This window comes from Homo sapiens, chromosome 2 (genome assembly GCF_000001405.40).
Source record: "Homo sapiens chromosome 2, GRCh38.p14 Primary Assembly".
NCBI classification, from domain to species: Eukaryota; Metazoa; Chordata; class Mammalia; order Primates; family Hominidae; genus Homo; species Homo sapiens.
In genome coordinates this window covers 105,003,786-105,030,097 of record NC_000002.12, presented here as the reverse complement: position 1 = coordinate 105,030,097, position 26,312 = coordinate 105,003,786, and the positions used below count along the sequence as shown (strand labels likewise).

The 26,312-nt window shown below is 37.2% G+C and overlaps 1 long non-coding RNA gene across 1 annotated transcript in view, besides 2 other annotated features; it reads left to right on the top strand.

Annotated features, from left to right (window-relative positions):
• Positions 1 to 26,312, top strand: part of MRPS9-AS2 (MRPS9 antisense RNA 2) — a 102,256-nt gene that overhangs the window by 8,399 nt on the left and 67,545 nt on the right. The gene's annotated exons all lie outside the window — the stretch shown is intronic.
• Positions 24,459 to 25,079: an enhancer, noted in NCBI's record as "OCT4-NANOG hESC enhancer chr2:105621477-105622097 (GRCh37/hg19 assembly coordinates)". NCBI's record gives its function as "activates a minimal SCP1, AML or CMV promoter by ChIP-STARR-seq in naive H9 embryonic stem cells {active_cell/tissue: H9 hESC(naive)}" and the evidence as "EXISTENCE:reporter gene assay evidence [ECO:0000049][PMID:30033119]".
• Positions 24,693 to 24,987: a silencer, noted in NCBI's record as "tiled region #856; HepG2 Repressive non-DNase unmatched - State 24:Quies". NCBI's record gives its function as "represses a minimal TATA promoter and a strong SV40 promoter by Sharpr-MPRA in HepG2 cells {active_cell/tissue: HepG2}" and the evidence as "EXISTENCE:reporter gene assay evidence [ECO:0000049][PMID:27701403]".

Here is a 26,312-nt window from a genome sequence, read left to right as displayed (position 1 = left end):
TAAAAATATATAACATAGTATTTACCATTTTAACCATTTTTGAGTATACAATTCAGTGGCGTTAAGTACCTTCACTTTGTTGTAGAAGCATTGCCACCATCTATTTCCAGAATTTTTCCATTCTCCCAAACTGCAACTCTGTACCTATTAAACACTAACTCCCGGCTGGGCATGGTGGCTCACGCCTGTAATCCCAGCACTTCTGGAGGCTGAGGCGGGCGGATAACCTGAGGTCAGGAGTTCGAGACCAGCCTGGTCAAAGTGGTGAATCCCCATCTCTACTAAAAATACAAAAATTAGCTGAGCATGGTGGCATGTGCCTATAGTCCCAGCTTCTCGGGAGGCTGAGGCAGGAGAATTGCTTGAACCCAGGAGGTGGAGGTTGCAGTGAGCCGAAATCCAGATAAAAAAAAAAAAAAACAATAACAATAATAAAATAATAAATAAACACTAACTCCCCAAACTCCTTTCTCTAGCCCCTGACACCCAACCTTCTACTTTCTGTCTCTATGAGTTTGACTGTTTTATGTACCTTATATAAGTGGAATCATATACGATATTTGTCCTTTTGTATCTGACTTGTTTCACTATGCATAATTTTTTTTCATTTTGCCATTTTTTTCCAACTTTTATTTAGATCTGGTGGTACATGTGCAGGTTTGTTATATGGATATATTATGTGATGCTGAGGCCTGAGGTATGAATAATCCCATCACCCAGGCACTGAGCATAGTTCCTAACAGGTAATTTTTCAGTCCTTACCCCCTTCCCTCTTTCCTCCCTCTAGTAGTCCCCAGTGTCTGTTGTTCCCAACTTTATGTCCATGTGTACCCAACGTTTAGCTTCTACTTATAGGTGAGAACATGAAGTATTTGGTATTCTGTTTCTGCGTAAGTTCACTCAGGATAATGGCCTCCAGCTGCATCCATGGTGCTGCAAAGGACATGATTTTGTTCCTCTTTTATGGCTGCATAGTATTCCATGTGTATATGTACCACATTTTCTTTAGCCCTCCACTGTTGGCAGGCATCCAGATTGATTCCATGTCTTTGCTATTGTAAAAAGTACTGCAATTAACATACTGTCTTTTTGGTAGAATGATTTCTTTTCCTTTTGACATATACCCGGTAATGGGAGTGCTGGGTCAGATTATAGTTCTATTTTCAGTTCTTTGAGAAATCTCTAAACTACTTTCCACAGTGGCTAAACAAATTTACATTCCCACCAACAGGTTATAAGCATTCCCTTTTCTCTGCGGCCTCACCAACATCTGTTATTTTTTGAGTTTTTAATAATAGCCATTCTGACTGGCATGAGATGGTATCTCATTGTCATTTTGATTTGCATTTCTCTGATGATTAGTGATGTTGAGCACTTTTTCATATATTTGTTGACCAGTTGTATGTCTTCTTCTGGGAAGCGCCTGTTATGCTTTTGCCCACTTTTTAATGTGGTTATTTGTTTTTTGCTTGCTGAAATATGTTTCTTATAAATTTTGGATATTAGTCCTTTGTCAAGTGCAGTTTGTGAAAATTTTACCCATTCTGTAAATTGTCTGTTTACTCTGTTGATAGTTTATTTTGCTGTACAGAAGCTCTTTAGTTTAATTAGGTCCTACTTGTCAATTTTTGCTTTGGTGCAATTGCTTTTGAGGACTTAGAGATAAATTCTTATCTAAGGCCAATGTCCAAAATGGTATTTTCTAGATTTTCTTCTAGGATTTTTATAGTTTGAGGTCTTACACTTAAATCTTTAATCCCTCTTGAGTTAATTTTTTATATGGTGAAAGGTAGGAGTCCAATTTTATTCTTCTGCATATGGCTAGCCAGTTAACCCAGCACCATTTCTTGAATAGGGATTCCTTTCTCCATTGCTTATTTTTGTCAGCTTTGTTGAAGATCAGATAATTGTAGGTGTGTGGTTTCATTTCTGGGTTTTCTATTCTGTTCCATTGATCTATGTGTCTGTTTTTGTACCAGTACTATGTTGTTTTGGTTACTGTAGCCTTACAGTGTAGTTTGAAGTCAGGTAATGTGATGCCTCCAGCTTTGTTCTTTTTAGCACAATGTTTTCAAGGTTCATCCATGTTGTAGCATTTGTCAGAATTTTCTTCCTTTTGAAGCCTGAGTAATATTCCATTGTATAGATATACACATTTGTCTACTCATTCATCCACTGATAGTCACTGGGGTTGTTTCCACCTTTTGGCTATTACGAGTTATGCTGCTATGAACATAGATGTACAAATATCCGTTCAAGCCCCTGCTTTCTGTTCTTTGGGGTATATACCTAGAAATGGAATTGCAGAATTCTTGTTTTTAAAATGGCCAGATTTTTAAACTCAATCCTCACAGCAAGATACCCACAAAAGATAGCTTGAGTGGTATTTAAATCTACAGCTTGAAAACTCTCTAATTATCTAGGCCGGAGGTCCCCAACCCCTGGGCCATGGACCAGTACTGGTCCATGGCCTATCAGGAATCGGGCCACACAGAAGTGGGTCAGTGGCAGATGAGCCAGCGTTACTGCCTGAGCTTTGCCTCCTATCAGATCAGTGGTGGCATTAGATTCTCATGGGAGTGAGAACCCTATTGTGAACTGCATATGCGAGGGACCTGGGTTGCGTGCTCCTTATGAGAATCTAACTAATGCCCGATGATCTGAAGTGGAACAGTTTCATCCTGAAACCTTCCGCCAAACACCATTGGTGGAAAAATTGTCTTCCATGAAACCGGTTCCTAGTGCCAAAAAGGTTGGGAACTGCTGATCTAGACCACTCCCAGCTAAATAAATATATACGGGGTAAGAAAATGAATAATGTAAATTTCACTGAAATTTAAAAGTATTTATTAGAGGTAATTTTAGTATATAATTGCTATATATTAAGCTTCTATACTATTCAAAATGGAACCTGTCCTAGCCTACAAGTAAATCTATCCCAAGATGCATATATTTTACCATGTTAATTGAATCTTAATAAAAAACAAATACAGCAAGTATCTTCTTTGATTTTTTTTCACTGTGCTCAGCGTGGACCAAACCCATACACATATGCAGCTCTTTAGCTATGAGCTGTCAATTATGTTTGCTATAAAAGATACAACACTTAGGGAGCTGTCAGTCAATGCTGTTGTGATGCTTGAAGCATCATTTCTCCAAGTTTAGCTGTCAAAAGTAAAACAAATTTACATGAAACCTAAAGGTAGATTGATCATACCACTTGCTGTGCATTGAAAATGACTTCGAACATACCCAGGTTCAGAGACAATATGCTTAAGGTCAGTGTTTCTTTGGCCATGTTTGTAATTACTTTACATAGACTTTGTTATTATTATTATTTTTTAAAGTGCAGGCCAGGCACAGTAGTGTGCGTTTGTAGTTCCAGATACCTAAGAAGGCTTGACCCCAGCGGTTTGAAAGCAGCCTGGGCAACATAGTGGGATCCCATCTCAAAAAGCAAACAAACAAACAGCCCCCTAAAAGTGCTTGTAGACAATGAAAGTAGTTGTTGTGAAATGGTGATGGGATTGTGAGTGCTTCCTCTATTTGAAATAACAGTGTGTAGACAATTTCTATGGTGTTATGGACATCTCTTTCATTCATGGATTTGGAGTCAGTGCGGGACTCCCCTGTGATGAACAGAGTAGAGGTAAAGAAGATCTAGCAAAAGAGAACTGAATGACCACAATTATAGACTGGATTTATTCAGGATAACAGGACTTTCTGAATGAAAGAAATGAACGTGAATAAGGAATATAACTAAAATCAATAAAATCATTAAGAGCATGGTGAAAATGAATAAGACTTAATCAAATTTCAAAAACTAGAACCGAAGTGAGGCTGCTTCAAGCATAAAAGAGAGGAAGTACCACATTACACAGCAGGGAGGCAACTTAAAAATCACATTGTCCCTAAGAAGTGGATGCAGCCTGAAAATATAAGTCAGTAGAAGATGGTAATTCAGATCCCAAAAATGAGAAACATTCTGAAGTGGGTAATTTTCATTCTTTTTTTTTTTTTTTTTGAGATGGGAGTCTCGCTTTCGTTGCCCAGGCTGGAGTGCAATGGCATGATCTCGGCTCACTGCAACCTCCACCTTCCAGGTTTCAGCAATTCTCTTGCCTCAGCCTCCCAAGTAGCTGGGGTTATAGGCGCCCACCACTTCGCCCGCCTAATTTTTGTATTTGTAATAAAGATTGGGTTTCACCATGTTGGCCAGGCTGGTCTGGAACTCCTGACCTCAGGTGATCCGCCCACCTCGGCCTCCCAAAGTGCTGGGATTACAGGCGTGAGCCACCGCACCCAGCCAATTCAATTTTCATTCTTAATCTTTTTTTAAAATTTATTTATTTGTTTTTATTTTTAGATGGAGCCTCACTCTGTCACCCAGGCTGGAGTGCAGTGGTGCGATCTTGGCTCGCTGCAACCTCCACCTCCAGGGTTCAAGCAATTCTCCTGCTTCAGCCTCCCGAGTAGCTGGGGTTACAGGTACACGCCACCATGCCCATCTAATCTTTTTTTTTTTTTTTTTTTTTTGTATTTTTAGTAGAGATGGGGTTTCCCCATGTTGGCCAGGCTGGTCTCAAACTCCTGACCTTAGGTGATCCACCTGCCTTGGTATCCCAAAGTGCTGGGATTACAGGCATGAGCCACTGCACCTGGCCTCATTCTTGATCTTTTGAGGAAGCAAAGGTAAGAGCGACATATCTCTTGTGTCTCCATCAGAGAAAGAGTATTGATTGAGAGAGACCATGGGATGCAATTCTAAGAAATACAACAGAGAATAACATAAATTATACATATATGTGCATATAAACAACACACATTATATATAACATTAAAAATTTTCAAGAACATTATATAACATTCAGTGTCCAGGCGTGGTGGCTCACGTCTGTAATCCCAGAAATTTGGGAGGCCGAGGTCGGTGGATCACCTGAGGTCTGGAGTTCAAGACCAGCCTGGCCAACAAAGTGAAACACCGTCTCTTCTAAAAACACAAAATTAGCTGGTGTGGTGGTGCTTTCCTGTAATCCCAGCTACTTAGGAGGCTGAGGCAGGAAAATCACTTCAACCCGGGAGGCGGAGGTTGCAGTGAGCCGAGATTGCGACATTGAACTCCAGCCTGGTCAACAAGAGTGAAACTCAGTCTAAAAAAATAAAAATAAAAATAAAAATAAAAATAAATTCAATGGCATTAATTGAGCACTGTACTGAGTACCTTAAAGGTTTTATCTCTGTTAGTCATAACACTGTCCCTGTGAGGAAGGTAGTGTTAGTATCCTTGCATTAGATGTAAGGAAGCTGAGGCACCTCCTAGTCCTAGCCCCTCATCCTCGCCTTCATCCATGCCCTCTGCTCTATGTAGCCCTTCTCTTCAGGGACCCAGCTCACTTGTCCTCCTACTTCAGCACCCAAGTCCCACTGGTTAACTCTGCCCGCTGTTCTCACAGGTATCACCTCCGTCTTCTCCTGTGTAAGGACATGAGATTATATTTGTCTAGGTTGCTTTTTAGAAGTGAAAATCTGGCAACCCTTCAGCTATGGTTTCTATGACCTGAACAGTGTTTTGGGGGTGTGTGTGAAATTTAAACCTGGATGCTATGATTGATCACACAATGTCCCTTCACCATGTCCCCAGCACCCGTGGTGTGTTCCCACGTTCACATGACAGCCTTGCTTTCTACAGTGCCTATCATGAGTTCAACACATGCACACTTGACAGATGCAAACATGAACCCCAGAATTGTTGAGGCTTTGCCTACTCAATGAGGGATCAGAGTGCTGGGGCTCTAAGACCCCCAGGATTCTTCCAGGAAGGCCAACTGGGGGACTGGATATTTCACAATTTGGAGACATGGACAATCCTGCCCAGCATTCCTGCTGACTTTGCTGCCCTGCTGGAAAGTAGAAATTTTGTACTTTAGGAATTAAAGTAAGAATTTAATCTACACAAAGATGATTTTATCTTTATCAACCAATATTTAGTGACACATGCTTTGCAAGGCTGTGTTGTCAAGAACCATCTAGGTGTTAAGATGATACCTGCCTTTGAGAGGCTTATTGGCTTATGGAAAAAGAACAGATATTTACATGAATACGATAATCCTAGGAAGACCATGATAGAGTCATGAAAAAATTTACAAAGTAAGTTGGGAGTTCAAGAAGGAAAACATTACTTCCTGCCAAATGGTTCAAGATGGTTTTATTTCCTAAATGTTTTATAGAGTTGCAAATCAAAATAAACTGTCTAATTCATTTTTTTACTCTTATGCAGAACCACTTCTAAATGCTCTCTGAAAGCAATTAACCCATCCCATTTTATAGTACCTACAAAGTAGAATCTTCTGTCTCAATTTATCAAATCATGTGATTAACAATTATTCTTCAGTAACCTTAAAAGATTCTTAAACATTTGCATGCCACCTTTCTTATTTCCACTGGAGAAACATTCTTGGCCCATTTTCCAAGTGTTTTCCAAAATCAAGTATCATATCTGATATTTAAAATTGTGTCCAATTTCAATGAGCATATCACAGCCTAGTGTGTGATTAAACTATCTCATCTCTTTATGAACAGAGTTTGCTGTGATTAAATTGTAAACACCTGCATGATGTTATTTTGACTTTAGACTCAAAGGAACATTTTATGCTGGGAAATACAGACTTCCTGAAATAAGCGTATCAGTTTTCCAACCAAGCTATTAGCATTACCTTCTTAATAACCTTTGAAGCTTAGAAATATTTTTGTTTATATGGCAAATCCATGTTTTCCTGTCATCTAAATTATGTGTCCAGCACTATTTAGATATAGATTGCTGACCTCAGGGCATGCACTTGTCGAATATTCATATTTTCTGTAACTTCTTATCCAGTTGGGCAAAATGTTTATGTTGTGAAAATTGGAGTTCAATGTAGAAATTCAACAGGCTCATGCAGTTTATAGCAGGGAAGTTAAAACTGATAGGACAAATTAGCATAACGTCTAGATTAAAAAATATATATATATATACACACATTTGGCTCATTATTGGAAAGAGAGAATGTTAAAAAAGCAATGGAATTGTAGCTTTTGCCATCTTTTGTTTCTTGTGTATGTTGTAATCACACAAAAAATCGTCAGTATTTTAGATTCACACACCATCCTAGCAGCAGAGAGAGATTTCTGCTAAACAGTAGGCACAAGCATTGGGTCAGAAACGGCACATCCATTGTGGTCAGCTGCAGGCAACAGAAAGAGCTCTAACTGGTTTCAGTGAAAGGAATTTATACCAGGTATTAACCATATAAAATTACTGTAAGGGAAGCTGGGTCAATCCTTAGCTGAACTTTGGGAACACCTCTAGCCCCTGAAATGACATGGCCTCTGCCATGAACTGCACCAGCCAAGGGATGCCTCATTCTCTGCCCACCTATTCCTACTTAATTCGGTTCCAAATTGAAGTCTCATGTGAGTGTCTCTGATCAGTAGAAATTAAATCAAGTCTAGAACTCTAGCTCGCAAGAGAGTCTTTAACTTTTCATCATTAACTGTACAGTAGGAAAGTTATTTTTTTAAACTGTTTTACTCATTGCTGTAATTCCTAACAATTTTCCAAACAGTGCCTGGTGACTAGAACCTGGAACATAAATGTTTTTGAAGGAATGAATTGGAATGGATGTTGAGCAAGCTAATCCACAGTTTTTGTAACAACCACTTAATGCGGATATTGCAGAGGGGTCTTCAATGTCTACTAGATGGTTTTGATGGGAGGAATTTGAGGTCATTTTCAAATGCTTTGAGGGCAGGATCCATGTCTGTTTTGTTTATATAGTATCCCCAACCCAAAATATGCCTGGCACATACAAGGCAATCAATAAACACTTGGTAAAATGAGTGACTGTGTACACATCAGTTGCCTTTTACTCCTATCTCCACCATCTTTCAGTGGTAAACATTCATATTCTTCCATTTTTTTTGGTGTCATATAGATATTTATGACAAAATATATTTATATTATATTTTGTCATTACTTTCAATGGCAAAAACCACAATAACTTTTGCACAAACCAAATATTATCTTTTATAATTTTATCATTTAGTTTCCTTTTTCTAATTGAGGATGTGTGCAATACAAATTGAGAATTTATATGTTTTTGTGCACTTTCTCTATACTGAAAGCTAACTTTATTTTGGTGCTTAGTTAACTCGGGGAAGGACTGGCTGTTACAGTGACTGTGTGTGGTTGTCTAATGGGTTCATCTCTATTTTTACTGCACAGCAAATTATCATTGAATATTTTTACCCCCACAGAAGATGCCTTCCTTTTAACCTTAGAAAATGGTACCTTAGCTCTCAAAAGCAAGGCAAACACAGCATGATTAATTGGATTATAATGGTCATAATGACAGTTTCGAGCAGCAAGTCCTTGATTCAGCTTTGTTTCTGAGATATCAGGTGAAGGCTAAACAAGGAGAAGTGCCAGTTGTTTGGCAAATGGTCCGTTATGACCATATTCACAATAGGGTTTTTTTCTTACATATTTTTTACTTATAAAGAACAACCGATTTTTTTCCTCTCCTAAAAAAAAACTCATTGGTGCTTTATTTTCTGTTCAGACATGTGTAGAAACCTCCATTTTATTTTTCATGCAGACCCAGCAGCTGTGTATTTCTGTAAATGAAGTATTGTAATGATTATTTAATTGAAGTACCCGAAGTTCAGCACCTTTAAGATTCACCTAAAGTGAATTTCTTGCACATTATACACAGCTCCATGTTTTATTTTACAGACTTCCACTGTGTAAGATTTTTTTGTCAAAATTAGATTTGTAACTAAGAACTAAATTCATACTTTTATTATTCAATAATTTATGTTTTTCATATTTTACCTTGAGTCTTACAATGATCTAATTAGATTTAAAACATACCAGAAACTGTTAAGTTTGGATGCACTGGCTTGCATGTTTTAAACACTAAAAACACATGTTAACAATGGAAAGGTGTTATTTTATCATCAAAAAAGAGAAAAAATGCTACCTATTCATATCGTGAAAATTAAATACTTCAAAAGAAAACAAAAATGTTATCAAGCTAGATTGGTCGAGAAAACAGAATAATCTCTTAAATTTCTTAGATGTTCTTAAGTTCTTCCCACATACACACACACACACACACACACACACACACAGAGAGAGAGAGAGAGAGAAAAAAAATCTAAAGCACTCTAAATAATATGAGAAAATCCTTTAAAAGTTTTTGAAATAATTTCATCACCACAAACACTAATTTGCCCTAAGGATTGGTATCCACATTTCATGGAATGTTCCTTTGGCCAGATGGATCAAGTTTATTCTTCAAATTCAGAACAAGAGTGAGTAAATGAGGATTTAGAAAAAAAAAAAACAATTTGCTGGGATATTCCATCATTTCCTTGCCATTTTCCCTGATTGGCTTATTATCCTCTCCACATAAACCATTTCTCTCTCAGCTTGATAGTGGTGTCTCTTTAATTTTATCTTTTTAAAAAATTGTGGTAAAATATACAAAACATAAAATTTACCACTTTACCCATCTTGAAGTGCACATTTAGTACTATTAAGTGCTTTCATATCGTTGTGCAACCATTATCACCTTCCAAGAGTTCCTCCTGGAACTCTTTTTATTTTACAAAACTGAAACTCTGAGCCCATTAAACAATAACTCACCATTCCACCTTTCCCCTCAGTCCCTGGCAACTATCATTCTACTTTGTGTCTCTTTCAATTTGACAACTCAAGGAATCTTATACAAGTGAAATCATACAGTAGTTGTATTTTTGTGACTGGCTCAGTTTGCTTAGCATGATGTCCTCAAGGTTCATCCATGTTGTAGCATGTTTCAGAATTTCCTTCCTTTTTAGGGATGAGTAATATTCCATTGTATGGATATGCCACATATTTTTTATCCATTCATCTACTGAGGGACACTTGGGTTGCTTCCACATTTGGGCTATGGTGAATAGTGCTGCTATGTGGTTACTATTTGCATCAAAAATCTTTTTCCAGCCTTTCACTTTCAATCTATTCATGTCTCTAGAGTTAAAGTGAGTCTCTTGTAAACAGCATGTAGTTGGATTGTTTTATTTTATTTTTTTCTGTATTCTGCTAATCTCTATCTTTTGATTGGAGAGTTTAATTAATCCATTTACATTCAAAGTAGTTACTGATAAGGAGAGACTTCTGTCATTTTTCTTTGTTTTCTTTCTTTTTTTTTTTTCTGAGACAAAGTCTCACTCTGTCACCTAGGCTGGAGTGCAGTGGTGTGATCTCAGCTCACTGAAACCTCTGCCTCCCAGGTTCAAGCGATTCTCCTGCCTCAGCCTGCTGAGTAGCTGGGATTACAGGTGCCTGCCACCACACCTGGTTAATTTTTGTGTTTTTTAGTAGAGACAGGGTTTCACCATGTTGGCCAGGCTGGTCTTGAACTCCTGACCTCAAGTGATCCACCTGCCTCAGCCTTCCCAAAGTGCTGGGATTACAGGTGTGAGCCACCGCACCCAACCTGTTTTCTATATGTCTTATAGATTCTTTTGTTCCTCATTTCCCAAATTGCTGTCTTTTTTGTTTTTAATTGATTTTTTGTGGTGAAACATTTTAATTGCCCTTTCATTTTCTTTTCTGTATATTCTATAGATATTTTCCTTATGGTTACCATGTAGATTATATTTAACATCCTAAAGCTATAATACACTAGTTTGAATTTATACCAGGTTAACTTCAATAACAAATAAAACTCTTCCCCTTTAACTGCTCAATCCCTACCCTTTTATAGTTATTGATGTAACAAATTACATCTTTATACACTATGCGTTCAAAAACACAAACTGATAATTGTGTTGTTATGCATTAGTCTCTTAAATTATTTAGAAAACAAAGTGTGAAGTTACAAATCAAAGTTACAATTATACTAACTTTTATACTAATAATTTTAAAATATGTATTAGTTCCTTAAATCATGTACAAAAACAAAAAGTGGAGTTACAAACTGGTGTTACAACAACACTAACTTTTATAATTGCCCACATATTTACCTTCACTGACATCTTTATTTCTTCATACAGCTTTGAGTTCCTGTCTACTGTCCTTTATTTCAACCTGCAGTAGTCCTTTTAGCAGTTCTTGAAGGGCAGGTCTAGTGATTACAAACTTCTCACTTTTGTTTATCTGGAAATCTCTTAATTTCTCCCACATTTTTGAAGGACATTTTTGTTAAAGATAGGATTGTGTTGGCAGTCTTTCTTTCAGCACTTTGACTATATCAGCCCACTGACTTCTGGCCTCTAAAGTTTCCAATGAGAAATCTGCTGACCATCTTATTGAGGATACCAATATGTGACAAATTGATTCTCTTTTGCTGCTTTCAAGATTCTCTTTGCCTTTGGCTTTCTATAGTTGATTATAATTTGCCTTGGTGTGGGTCTCTGTTCATCTGTTTGGAGTTTGCCAAGTTTCTTGAATATTTATATTCATGTCTAAATATAATATTTATATTCGTGTCAACTTTAGGAAGAGTTCATCCGTTATTTCTATGAATAATTTTTCTGCTGCATTCTCTTCTTCTTTTAGACTCCCACAATACATATATTGGTCTGCTAGATGTCCCACTGAGCCCTTAGAATCTGTTCAGTTTTCCTCAATCTTTTTTTTCTTTTTTTTTCATGTTGCTCAGACTCAATAATTTCAATTGTGTCATCTTCAAGTTCACTTATTCTTTCTTCTTTTTGCTCAAATCTGCCTTTGAATCCCTAGTGAATTCTTTTTTTTTTTTTTTTTTTTTTTTGAGACAGAGTCTCGCTCTGTCACTCAGGCTAGAGTATAGTGGTGCAATCCCAGCTCACTGCAACCTCTACCTCCCGGGTTCAAGTGATTCTCCTGCCTCAGCATCCTGAGTAGCTGGGACTACAGGCGTGAGCTATCATGCCTGGCTAATATTTTGTATTTTTAGTAGAGACAGGGTCTCACCATGTTGCCTAGGCTGGTCTCGAACTCCTGAACTGAGGCAATATGCCCACCTTGGCCTCCCAAAGTACTGGGATTGCTGGCATGAGCCACTGAGCCCGACCCCTAGTAAATTTTTGTTTCTTTTTTCTTTTTCATTTTTTAATTATTTCTTTATTTTTTTGAGATAGAGTCTCACTCTGTCACCCAGGCTGGAGTGCAGTGGTGTGATCTTGGCTCACCGCAACCTCCTATTTCATATTTCAAAACAATAAAATATTCTCTATGTAAATCTCCACAAAATTCTTAATAGCTTGTCCCTGCACCAGCTAAATAATTTTTCAATAAATACCAAGTAATATATTAATGGGGAAAAAAGGATGACTTTTTTTGCCAAAAGCAAGACATTTTTCTATTAACATGTTATTGTATTGAGGGGCAGAATGTTTTGTTTTCCAGATTATAAACAAAAGACATCTTAAGAAAGAAACTACATCTTTTTGCAAGTGCCATCAATATTGAGACTGTTCTCTATGCCAAAGTTTCTTAACACTGGCTACATGTACAGGCTGAAAAGATATATGTTGAAAACAGACATGTGTGGTCCCAGGCCCAGAGATTCTAGTTGAATGATCTGGGGTATGACTTGGGCTTTGGGATTTCTAAATGTTTCCCAAGTAATTCTAATGGGCATAGGAATCTCTGCTCTATGCCTTTTTTTCTCTGATGGCAGTGAGCATGCTACTCAACATATGATGCTCAGATTTTTTTATATTTTTCTTTTATGACAGAGCTCATGATTTCTGCATGCACATTTATCCTTACATTATAATTCCAGGCATATCGTCGCATGCCATACCTTTTATGTGAGCCGACAAGGTATTCTCCCATTCTTGCAAGGAAAATATTGGGTTACTTTTAAGTAGGTCATGGTGGTTCAAGAATCACTTTGGGATCACTTGCAGATGGAATGACATAGTGGGTTCAATGTAATTTCTGATTCATGAGGATCCAGAAAGCATTGCCCTAACAGTTGCTCATTTTTCCACTTAAGGCTGCAACCTTAACCAAGAAGCAAATACTATAGCAAGAATAAAAGTAACCTAAGCCCTCTTTTAAGAAGTAGTCTCTCTAGTGCGAAATTGAGGCCAATAGCCACATAAAGGCAGTTCTTTTCTGAATACACTAATTCTGAAGCTGAATAAAAGGCTTCATTTTCCAGAGCTGTCAGTCTGGTGCCTTTCTCGACAATTAGATTTACTAAAGAATTTTATAGAGAAAAAAGAGAGAGAGAGAAATTAAGCAAAATGTCCAGATGTCATCTGTTAAAAATGCTTTATTGAGACAATAAACAAATAACATCAACAAGTACTAAAATTTTAATTAAAATATGATTTACAATGTTGCTATACACCACTAGAAGCATTCTTATTGACGGAAAATAAGATTGCTTTGCTTGTATCCTTAGGACACTCTAACACCCCATTTGACTTTGTGGGTCTCCCATCCAAGTCTTATAATATCTTTTCCATGCCCATGAGCATGAACATTTTCTTCAACACTTTAAAACACAATGGCAGTATCAATCGTTCCCTTTCATTGCTGGCTACATCACTAAAGATATGTATATTATGTTCTCTTGCCTTCTGCTCAGAAAAATCTAAGTATTGCATTTCTGTCAATTCATTGATTGAAGAGCTTCCCCTCAGAATGTTGACAGCTGTTTCAGACATTTATAAAATAACTTGGATAACAGCTGCAAACGGATTGGCTAAAGAAGATTTTGAACCATGTAATTAGCATTCATCAAATGCACACATTTCCATTGAAAAACCTCTTCAACCCAAAAGTTGACTATCAGGAAGCTGATAATTCTTGCTAAGTCTCCAGACAGGACTTGCTAATGCTTAACTCTCCATTAGCTGATTTTAGATGAGCATATTAATGTAGTTACTATTAAATAATTTAATATTAAATGCTGTCTGTAACTAACACTGCTTTAATTTTTGTCCTTTATCCATCTAGACACTCATCCATGTAAGACTGATCTCAGGTAAAAAATTAAAATAAATACATATATCACACACAAAAATAAAAAAAGATGATAGCTCATTGTGGTGTGTGATGATCTCTTAATGATATAGTGCACTGATAAATCCTGTGTATGTGAGCATATGTAATTCCCCAGATATAAAGTGGAAATAAACCTAGTCACCTAATTAATTACCCTTATGTACATACAAAATAATCTTAGTAGGACACAAAAATGTTTATGTATTTTAATCACCACCATATTAAGAAGTGCATTAAAATCCTAGAGGTAAACACACAAATATTAGTGATTGTTTGAATATAAATGGTCTAAACGCTCCACTTAAAAGATACAAAATTGAAGAATGGAAAAGAATTCACCAACCAAGTATCTGTTGCCTTCAGGAGACTCATCTAACACATAAGGACTCACATAAACTTAAGGTAAAGGGGTAGAAAAAGACATTCCTTGCAAATGGACACCAAAAGCAAGCAGGAGTAGCTATTCTTATATCAGATAAAACAAACTTTAAAGCAACAACAGTTAAAAAAGACAAAGAGGGACACTGTATAACAATAAAAGGCCTTGTCCAATGGGAAAATATCATAATGCTAAATATATATGCACCTAACACTGGAGCTCCCAAATTTATAAAACTATTACTACTAGACCTAAGAAATGAGATAGCAGCACAATAGTAATGGGGGACTTCAATACTCCACTGACAGCACTAGACAGGTCATCAAGACAGAAAGTCAACAAAGAAACAATGAATTTAAACTATACCCTGGAACAAATGGACTTAACAGATATTTACAGAACATTCTACCCAACAACCACAGAATATACATTCTGTTCACCAGCGCATGGAACTTTCTCCAAGATAGACCATATGATAGGCCACAAAATAAGTCTCAATAAATTTAAGAAAATTGAAATTATATCTAGTACTCTTTCAGACCACAGTGCAATAAAACTGGAAATCAACTCCAAAAGGAACCTTCAAAACCATGCAAATACATGGAAGTTAAATAACCTGCTCCTGCCTGAGCATGGTGGTTCATGCCTGTCATCCCAGCACTTTGGGAGGCCAAGGTGGTTGGATCACCTGAGGTCAGGGGTTTGAGACCAGCCTGGCCAACATGATGAAACCCCATCTCTACTAAAAATACAAAAATTAGCCAGGTGTGGTGGCCCATGCTTGTAAACCCAGCTACTTGGGAGGCTGAGGCAGGAGAATTGCTTGAGCCTGGGAGGCGGGGCTTGCAGTGAGCTGAGATCACACCACTGCACTCCAGCCTGGGTGACAGAGCGAGACTCCATCTCAAAAAATAAAAATAAAAAATAAATAAGTGAGTAAATAAATAAATAAATAAATAGCCTGCTCCTGAATGATCATTGGGTCTACAATGAAATCGAGATGGAAATTAAAAAATTCTTCGAACTGAATGATGATACTGACACAATCTATCAGAACCTCTGGGATATGGCAAAGGCAATGCTAAGAGGAAAGTTCATAGCCCTAAATGCCTCCATCAAAAAGTCTGAAAGAGAACAAGTAGACAATCAAAGGTCACACCCCAAGGAAATAGAGAAACAAGAACAAACAAAACTCAAACCCAGCAGAAGAAAGGAAATAACCAAGATCAGAGCTGAACTAAATGAAATTGGAAGAAGAAAAATACACAAGATAAGTGAAACAAAAAGCTGCTTATTTGAAAAGATAAACAAAATTGATACACCATTAGCAAGATTAACCTAGAAAAAAAGAAAGAAAATCCAAATAAGCTACATTAGAAATGAAATGGGAAATATTACAACTGACACCACAGAAATACAAAAGATTATTCGAGGCTACTATGAACACCTTTATGCACATAAACTAGAAAATCTAGAGGAGATGGATAAGTTCCTGGAAAGATACAAACCTCCTATATTAAATCAAGAAGAATTAGGTACCCTGGACAGATGAATAACAAGCAGCAAGATTGAAATGATAATTAAAAGAAAATACCAAGAAAAAAAATCCAGGACCAGATGGATTCACAGCTGAATTCTACCAGACATTCAAAGAAGAATTGGTACCAATCCTATTGGCACTATTCCACAAGATAGAGAAAGCAGGAATCCTTTCTAAATCATTCTGTAAAGCCCAATATCACCCTAATACCAAAACCAGGAAAGAACATAACCAAAAAAGAAAACTATAGGCCAATATCCCTGATAAATATAAATGCAAAAACCCTTAACAAAATACTAGCTAACCAAATCCAGCAAAATGTAAAAAAGATAATCCACCATGATCAAGTGGGTTTCATACCAGGAATGCCGAAATGCAGAAATGCAGGGATGGTTTAACATATGCAAGTCAATAAATGTGATATACCACATAAACAGAATTAAAAACAAAAATCACATTATCATGTCAATAGATGCAGAAAAAGCATTTGACAAAATCCAGCATCCCTTTATGATTAAAACTCTCATACAAGGGACATACCTCAATATAATTAAAGACATTTATGACAAACAACAGCCAACATAATACTGAAGGGGGAAAAGTTGAAAGCATTCCCTCTGAGAACCGGAACAAGACAAGAATGCCCACTCTCACCACTTCTATTCGACATAGTACTGGAAGTACTAGCCAGAGTAATCAGACAAGAGAAAGAAATAAAGGGCATCCAAATTGGTAAAGAGGAAGTTAAACTGTTGCTGTTTGCTGATAATATGATTGTATACCTAGAAAACACTAAAGACTCCTCCAAAAAGCTCCTAGGACTGATAAAAGAATTTAGCAAAGTTTCAGGATACAAAATTAACGTACACACACACACACACACACACACACACACACACAAAAGAAACAAAATTAAAGTACACAAATCAGTAGCTCTCCTATACACCAATAGTGACCATGCTGAGAATCAAATCAAGAACTCAACTCCTTTTACAATAGCTGCAAAAAAATTAAAATACTTAGGAATATACCTAATCAAGGAGGTGAAAGACCTCTGCAAGGAAAACCACAAAACACTGCTGAAAGAAACCACAGATGACACAAATGGAAACACATCTCATGCTCATGGATGGGTAGAATCAATATTGTGAAAATGACCATACTGCCAAAAGAAATCTACAAATTCAATGCAATTCCCATCAAAATTCCACCGTCATTCTTCACAGAGCTGGAAAAACAATCCTAAAATTGATATGGAACCAAAAAAGAGCCCACAGAGCCAGAGCAAAACTAACCAAAAGGAAAAAATCTGGAGGCATCACATTACCTGATTTCAAACTATACCATAAGGCCATAGTCACCAAAACATCATGGTACTGGTATAAAAATAGGCACACAGACCAATGGAACAGAATAGAGAATCCAGAAATAAACCCAAATATACTTACAGCCAACTGATCTTCGACAAAGCAAGCAAAAACATAAAGTGGGAAAGGGACACCCTATTCAACAAATAGTGCTGAGATAATTGGCAAACCACATATAGAAGAATGAAAATGGATCCTCATCTCTCACCTTATACAAAAATCAACTCAAGGTGGATTAAGGACTTAAATCTAAGACCGGGAACTGTAAAAATTCTAGAAGATAACATCGAAAAAAACCTTCTAGATGTTGACTTAGGCAAGGATTTCATGACCAAGAACCCAAAAGCAAATGAAATAAAAACAAAGTTAAATAGCTAGGACTTAATAAACTAAAAAGCTTTTGCACAGCAAAAGGAACAGTCAGCAGAGTAAACAGACAACCCACAGAGTGGGAGAAAATCTTCACAAACTATACATCTAACAAAGGACTAATATCCAGAATCTACAATGAATTCAAACAAATTAGCAAGAAAAAAAAATCACATCAAAATGCATGCTAAGGACATGAATAGACAATTCTCAAAAGAAGATATACAAGTGGCAAACAAACATGAAAAGATGCTCAACATCACTAATGATCAGGGAAATGCAAATCAAAACCACAATGCAATACCACCTTACTCCTGCAAGAATAGCCGTAATCAAAAAATCAAAAAATAATAGATATTGGCGTGGATCCAGTGAAAAGGGAACACGTTTACACTGCTGGTGGGAATATAAACTAGTACAACTACTGTGGAAAACAGTATGGAGATTCCTTAAAGAACTGAAAGCAGAGCTACCATTTGATCCAGCAATCCCACTACTGGGTGTCTATCCAGAGGAAAATAAGTCATTATACGAAAACGATACTTGCTCACTCATGTATATAGCAGCACAATTTACAATTGTAAAAATGTGGAACCTACCCAAATGCCCATCAGTCAACAAGTGGATAAACTGTGGTATATAAATATGATGGAATACTACTCAGCCATAAAAAGGTATGAATTATGCCATTCACAGCAACCTGGATGAGATTGGAGACTATTATTCTGAGTTAAATAACTCAGGAATGGAAAACCAAACATCGTATGTTCTCACTTATAAGTGAGAGCTAAGTTATGAGGATGTGAAGACCTAAGAATGACACAATTGACTCTGGGGATAAAAGACTATAAATTGGGTTCAGTGTATACTGCTCAGGAGATGGGTAGGCCAAAATCTCACAAATCACCACTAAAGAACTTACTGATGTAACCAAATACGACCTGTTCCCCAAAACCCTATGAAAATTAAAAAAAAAAAATTAAAAATCTTGCTTCTTCCTCAAGGTCTTCCCTAATTCTCAGAGGAGGTGTCCCTTCTCCTCCTTGAACTGACCTCTTTTTTTTTGAATTTCTCTAATACACTCACTGGGCTCTGGCTTCCTCCAGTCTTCCAGACCACTAGTTGCTCTCTCACAGAGCTCCTGTCCTGCAGGGCGTGAAGTTTTCACAGGCAGAATTAGTCTCCTTCATTATCCATGACAATGAGCTATAATATTTTTTATTTTTGTGTGTGACACACGTATTTATTTTCATTTTTACCTGACGTCAGTGACTAATTCATAGTTCTTTTTTATAAGTTAATTCAGGTATAGTTGACATACATAAACTACAGATGTTTAAAGTGTAGATTTGATAAATGTTGACATATGCAATACACCTGTGAAACCCTCACCACAATTATGATAATGAATATGTCCATCATGCCCCCAAATTTCCTCATACCCCTTTGTAATCCCTCCATCCAGCCCTGATCCCAGGCAATCACTGGGCTGCTTTCTCTCACTGTGGATTAGTTTGCCTTTTCTAAAATTTTATATAAATGAAATTATGTGGTACATACTCATTTTTGGTGGTGGCAGGGAGGGTATCTGGTTGCTTTAGCTCAGACAATTGTTTCAAAATTAATCTGTATTCTTTTGTATCAATAGTTTTTTTGTTTTTATTACTGAGTAGTATTACTTGGCATGGATTAACCACATTTGGTTTATCCATTTAATAGTTAATGGGCACTTGGGTTGTTCCCAGCTTGTGGTTATTATCAATAAAGCTACTAAGAACATTTGTGTACAAGTTTTTGTGTAGACATGAGCTTTCATTACTCCTAATTAGATAAGTACCTAAGAGTGGAATGGCTGGGTCATATGGCAAATGTATGCTTAACCTTTTAAGAAACTGTTGAACTGTTTTCCAAAGTAATTGTGACATTTTACATTCCTAACAGCAGTGTGTGAGAGTTGCCCTAGATCCTTGCCAACATTTGATGTACTCAATCTTTTCACTTTTAGCCATTCTAGTGGGTGTGTAGGGGTGTCTTATTGTTTAAATTAGTAATTCCCTGATAACTAGGTTGAACATCCTTTCATGTGCTTATTTACCATCTGTATACCTTATTTGGCTAAGTATCTGTTTAAATCTTTTGCCCATTAAAAACATGGTTTGTCTTCTTATTTTTGAATCATAAGCTTTTTATGTATTCCATATAGAAGTTCTTTGTAAGACACTTTTTTCAAATAATTTCTTCTAGTATGTGGCTTGCCTTTTAATTTTCTTAACATTGTCTTTTGTAGGGCAAAAGTTTTAAATTTTGATGAAATCCACTTGTTCTCATTTTTCTTTTTATAGTTTATACATTTTGTGTCATATTTACAAATTCTAGCTGGGTATGGTGACATGTGCCTGTAGTCTGCAGCTACTTGGGAGGCCGAGTGGGGAGGATCACTTGAGGCCAGGAGTTCAAGCCCAGCCTACAGAACACAGCAAGACCCCATATCTAAAAAAAGAAAGAAAGGAAACACAGCAACAAAAATAACTCTTTGCTGAATCCAAGGTTACTATGGTTTTGTTTTGTATTCTATTCTGGATATTTTTAAGTTTTTGCTCTTATATTTACATATATGATCCATTTCAAGTTAATTCTTTTCCTCCCTTGACTGCTCAGCAGAATAAAGCTAATTTTTTATATGATGGAAATGTGAAGGAAAGGTTATGGTTATTTTTTGTATATGGCTATCCAATTGTTCTAACAACTATTTGGTGAATAGATTATCCTTTTCCTGCTGAATTAACTTAGCACTATTGTTGAAAATAAATTTACCATACATATGTTAGTCTATATTCTAGAATCTATCCCATTGATCAGTTTGTCCAGTTTTACACCAATACCACACTGTTTTGATTATTGTAGCTTTATTGTAAAGCTTACACACAGATATTTGAGTTATTCATCTTTGTTATTCTTTTTCAGCATCATTTTGATTCTTCTAGGTCCCATGCACCTCCATATAAAGTTTAAAATGAGCTTTTTCAATTTCTATAAAAAAAGGCAGTTGAATTTTGACTGGAATTTCATTGATTTTGCATACCAGTTTGAAGACTCTATATTTTAACTATATTAACTCTTATCTATGAGCAAGATATATTTTTTCATTTGTTTAGGTATTCTTTCATTTTTATCAGCAATGCTTTGTAGTATTAAGTATAGTGGCCTTGGAAATATTTTGTCAAATTATTCCCAAGTATTTTATATATATATATATATATATATATATATATATATATATATATATATATATATATATAAATACATATATACATATAAATACATATATATTTTCTTCCTTTTTTTTTTTTTTTGTGAGACGGAGTTTCGCTCTGTCGCCCAGGCTGGAGTGCAGTGGCGCAATCTTGGCTCACTGCAAGCTCCGCCTCCTGGGTTCGCGCCATTCTCCTGCCTCAGCCTCCCCAGTAGCTGGGACTACAGGCACCCACCACCACACCCAGCTAAGTTTTTGTATTTTTAGTAAAGACGAGGTTTCACTGTGTTAGCCAGGATGGTCTCGGTCTCCTGACCCCATGATCTGCCCACCTCTGCCTCCCGTATTTTATATTTTTTATGCCATTGTAAATGGTATTTCTATTTTTAATTTCAATTTATGATTGTTCATTGCTATTATGTAGAACTACAACTGATTTTGTTTATCTATCTTGTATGGTGCAATCTTGCTAAACTTACATATTAATCCTAGAAGCTATTTTGTAGATTCCACCTGCTTAGCTATATATCTGATCATGCCATCTGAGAATAAAAACAATTTTAATTCTTCCTTTGAAATATGGATGTCTTTTTTTTTCTTTACTTACGCATCAGTTAGAACCTCCAGTATGTTGTTAAATAGAAGATAGTGAACGGTCTTGCCTTGCTTACGATATTATAGTGAAAGCATTCAATCTTTCATAATGTTAGCTAGAGACTTTTCAAAGACTTATTGTATCAGCCTGAGAACATTTCTTTCTATTTTTAGTTTGTAATTTATCTGAAATAGATGTTGGATTCTTTAATTGCTTTTCCTGAATCTGTGGAGATATTAATATAGTTTTCCTTTCTAGATGGATAATTTGGTGAATTATTGGTTGATTTTAACGTTCAACCAACCTTGCTTTCTTGGAATGAACTCTAGTTGAGAGAGAGAGAGAGAGAGAGTTGTATTTGATTTTCTAAAAATGTATAAAGAGTTTTAAATCTGTGATCATAAAGCATATATTGGTCTTTAGGGTTTGTTTTTTTTTTTCAATGTCTTTTTCTGGTTTTGGTATTTGGGTGATTCTGGCCTCATAGAATGAATTGAGAAATATTCCTTTCTCTTCAATTTTTTGGAAGAATTTGTTTAGAGTTGGTGACTTTTGTCCTTAAATGTTTGGGATATTATCATTGAAGCCCTGTGGGTCTGGAGTTTTCACTACAAATGTAATTTATTTAATAGATAAAGAGATATTCAGGTTATCTCTTTTTTTTGCAGGGATGTCCAAGGGACAGAATATAGTCATGGGTTCTTAGTTTCTGTTTCTGGTTGGGCCAGTGAAGCCCCTTCCTCATCCTTGTTTTCCACTTATCACTAGAGACAAAAACTAAAAACCATGGCTTCAGGCTGCTAAAAGCCTAAAACAAAACAAAACAAAACAGAAAGACAACAACTACAAAAATAAGGTAGGTTGGACAAGCTTGTAAATCTAGAGTGAGTTTTTGTAGTTTATGTCTTTCAAAAATCAGTCTGTTTTCTATAAGTTAGCAAATTCATTGGCTCAAAGTTTAAATTGAAGGTAATGGCAAAAACCGCAATAACTTTTGCACCAACCTAATATCATTCCCTACCTTTAGAGTCTGTATTAATTGTCACCTTTCTCCTTCCTGATACTGATTTTTTGTCTTCTCTTTTTTGTCCTGATCAGTCTAGCTAGTGATTTATCAATCTTATTGATTTTCTGAAAGAAATAACTTTGCTTTCAGGGTTGTATATTGGTTCTACTTTGCATTGCAGTGTCTAGTTGCATGGCAACTGATGAATCTGTTTCTGAAGTTAGAGGGTTAGAGAAGTTAGCAGGCTCTCTTCTCCTCTCAGAGGTACCAGTAAGGTTTTGCATCTCAGTTTCTGATGGTATCCCTCTCATTATTTTGTGTGCCTTCTTTTGAAGAACTTGGAACAAATTCTTTTTGAGCTGGGTCTCAAGGAAATATGAGCGGTATTACACACAAAAAAACTTAGTCCACACAAGCTCTCCCTCACGTCTGACATCAATTGCAAATTTAAAAGGGTCCCTAATAGCACTCTCAGGTTCAATAATTTCTTAGAGAGATTCACAAAACTCACTAAAAGGCTGTTATACTCATGGTTACAGTTTATTACAGGGAAAGGGTATAGATAAAAATCAGCCAGGAAGAAGCACGCCAGGCAGAGTCCAGGAGGAAGTGGAATGTGGAGCTTCTGTTGCCTTCTCTGTGTGTAGTCAGGATGCATTCATCCTCCACCATCAATGTGTGATAACGTTCATAGAAGATTGCCAACCATGAACACTCCCCCAAGCTTCAGTGTCCGGAGTTTTTATTGGGTCTTCATCACATAGACATTATGGATTGATTGAGTGCTTAACCTCAGTCTTAAAGCAAACTGACACTGTGTGACTGCAATCCAGAGGGACAGAGGTAAAGATTTGATAAAAGGGGTGTATTAGAGGGATGCTGGTTAAGTGGTGGGACTCTGGATACTTCTTGGGATATAGAGACTGATTAGAGACTACAGTGGCAGGTACAAAAAGGCTTTTAACAATAAGAACAGCTAACAGCAATTTTTAAAGTTTTGTTTCGTGGTATGCATGGCAACTCTTTCCTATAACCATGCTCTTTATAAAAGTTTAAATTCTCACTGTTATGGGCTGAATTGCATTCTTCTCAAATTTGTACTGAACAGACATCCTAGCTCCCGGTACCTCAGAATGTGAATGTATTTGGAGACAGGGTCTTTAAAGAGGTAGTTGATTAAAATAGGGTCATGAGGGTGGGCTATAGTCCAATATGATTGCTGTCCTTATAAGAAGAGGAGATTAGGGCACGGACATGCACAGCAGGACACGCTCATGAAGATATAGGGAGAAGGTGGCTGTCTGCAAGCCAAGGAGAGAGGCCTCCAGAGAAACCCACCCTGCTGACACCTTGATGGTGGACTTCCATTCTTCAGAATTGTGAGGAAATAATTTTCTGCTGCTTAAACCACCCAGTCTGTAGTGCTTTGTTAGGGTAGCCCAAGCCAACTAAGACACTCACCAAAATGTAGTAAAGGGGTTTAGGAAGTGTGTAAATCAGTGCACAGCTTACGTGCATAAATCAGAGTAGACCAAGTATGGACCAGAGGCAGCCCAGGCCAGAGCAGAAGTCTAGAGCTAAAATCCACTTTAAGAAATCTCAAAATCTTTAAAAAGTTTGAGGAGAGATTTGGACACTCACAGGAATGTTATGTCAACATTACCCAGATCCAGCTGCCCACAGGCCTTACCTGTACTTAATCACCTAGGGGAGTCAGATTCATCTTGGCAAGTGCTTATTTAGATTAGGCTTTGGCAAACTAAGGCCTGTGTGCTTCATCCTGCTCACTGCCTTTTGTAAATAAAATGTTGCTGGCACACAGCTCTGCCCATTTGTTTACATATCATCTATGCTGCTTTCTTGCTGTAATGGCAGAGCTGAATAGTTGCAACAGAGGCCGTATGGCTTGCAAAATCTAAAACAGTTACTAAACATAACATAAAAAGTTTGAAAAGTTTGAAATGAAGTGAATGTTACAATAAAATGCTCCTTCCTTTCAAGCACATGAGTTTGCTGATGATGTTCAGGCGCCTCAAGTTCAGGGTAGTGTTGTATACTTACCATGAAACTGTGAGAGTAGTGGGGGTGACCCCATGAGTCAGTGGCCTGGGGAAATCAGAAGAGATGTACTTGGGAAGCTTATGTTGGATTTGACAATGAAAAAGCATCAAGGCATGCTAATGGAGGTGAAAGGCTGAATACAAGGCAGCAGAGGGGGAGGTCTGAGAACCCAGAAGAAAGGGAGGCATATTTGTCAGAGAGTTCATACACAAAGAACCCAAGGTGCAGGAGGCATCCTGGAGAGAATGTTTTTGTTCTGGAGGTGGAAGTACTTTGTAACCCAGGTGTCAGCTGGAATGAAGTTTTCCAGGTCCTGGCTTATCCAGATGGGCTTGGCTCAAAACTCTGTGGAAGTCTAACCTCTCCCTCCCAAGATTTCTACAAATGCTGGGCTTTCATCCTTTCCGTTGTCTCTGCCTCCAGGTTCCTCATTTTGGTGAGACTGCGTCTAGTCCAGACACATCAGCCTAGTTGTTACACTCAACCCCTTCCATGAATTTTATGCACACACAAACACACACACACTCTTACACATACTCATAGAAAGTATTCAGGAGCACAAAATATTTTACTATCAGTTTCTGAGGTTTGTGGGAGCATGAGAAAGTAGTTTATGTTGTAGCAATATAAATCACCTTAAATTAAGTTTTGAATTTTTTTTATACTTAAATCTCCTTTGGCTACTTCACCACTGGGAAATTTCTTGTGGGTGTATCTCACCACATAAAGTCTCCACCCTCAGACCTTCTCACTCTCCAACACTACCTTCTCTCCCCATTTCTTTCATCTGTTTGATCTATCTATATCTCAGAAGCAAGAAGAAATTCCTCCCCATGTTTTATGCAGACCCATTTAGCCAGCCTCTTTGGGTCTCTTTAAAGTTTCACTGCTGGGCCGGGTGCAGTGGCTCATGTCTGTAATTGTAGCACTTTGGGAGGTGGGGCCATGAGGATCACCTGAGCCCAGGAGTTCAAGACCAGTCTGGGCAACATAGTGAGACACCTGTCTCTACAAAAAATTAAAAAAATTAACTGGGTGTAATGGCACTCGCTTGTAAACCCAGCTACTCAAGGGGGCTGAGGTGGGAGGGTTGGTTGAGGCTGGGAGGTTGTGGCTGTAGTGAGCCATGAACACACCACTGTACTCCAGCCTGGGCAATTGAGCCAGATCTTGCTTAAAACAAAAACAAAAATAACCAACCAAACAAAAAAACAAGTCTCGCTGATGTCTTCTTGGTGCCAATAATATTGTTGAGAAGCCTGATGTCTTTTGGTCTGTTGTCTGTAATTTGCTTTTTCTCTCTGAAAGTTTTAGGAATTTTAAGTCATTATGAATTTTTTTCAAGTATTTTCTCCCCTCTGTTTGTTTTCCCCTCTCCTTTTGACACTCCTATTACCTGGAAGTCGACTTATTACCCCCGATGCTTTCTGGAAAGATTCTTTGACTTGCTCTTCTGCTCATAAAATCTTCATTCTGTGGAATCCATTCTAATGTGCATACCATCAACCCAAGTTCTTTATTTCAGTAATTACAGTTTGTAAGCAGTATCTCTACTGTGTTTCTTTCCTTCTTTTTTTTAGAGACTGGGTCTCTCTCTGTTGCCCAGGCTGGAGTGTGGTGGTGAGATCATAGCTCACTGCAGCCTCAAATTCCTGGACTCAAGCAATCCTCCTTCCTCAGCCTCCTAAGTAGCTGCGACTACAGGCACTGCCA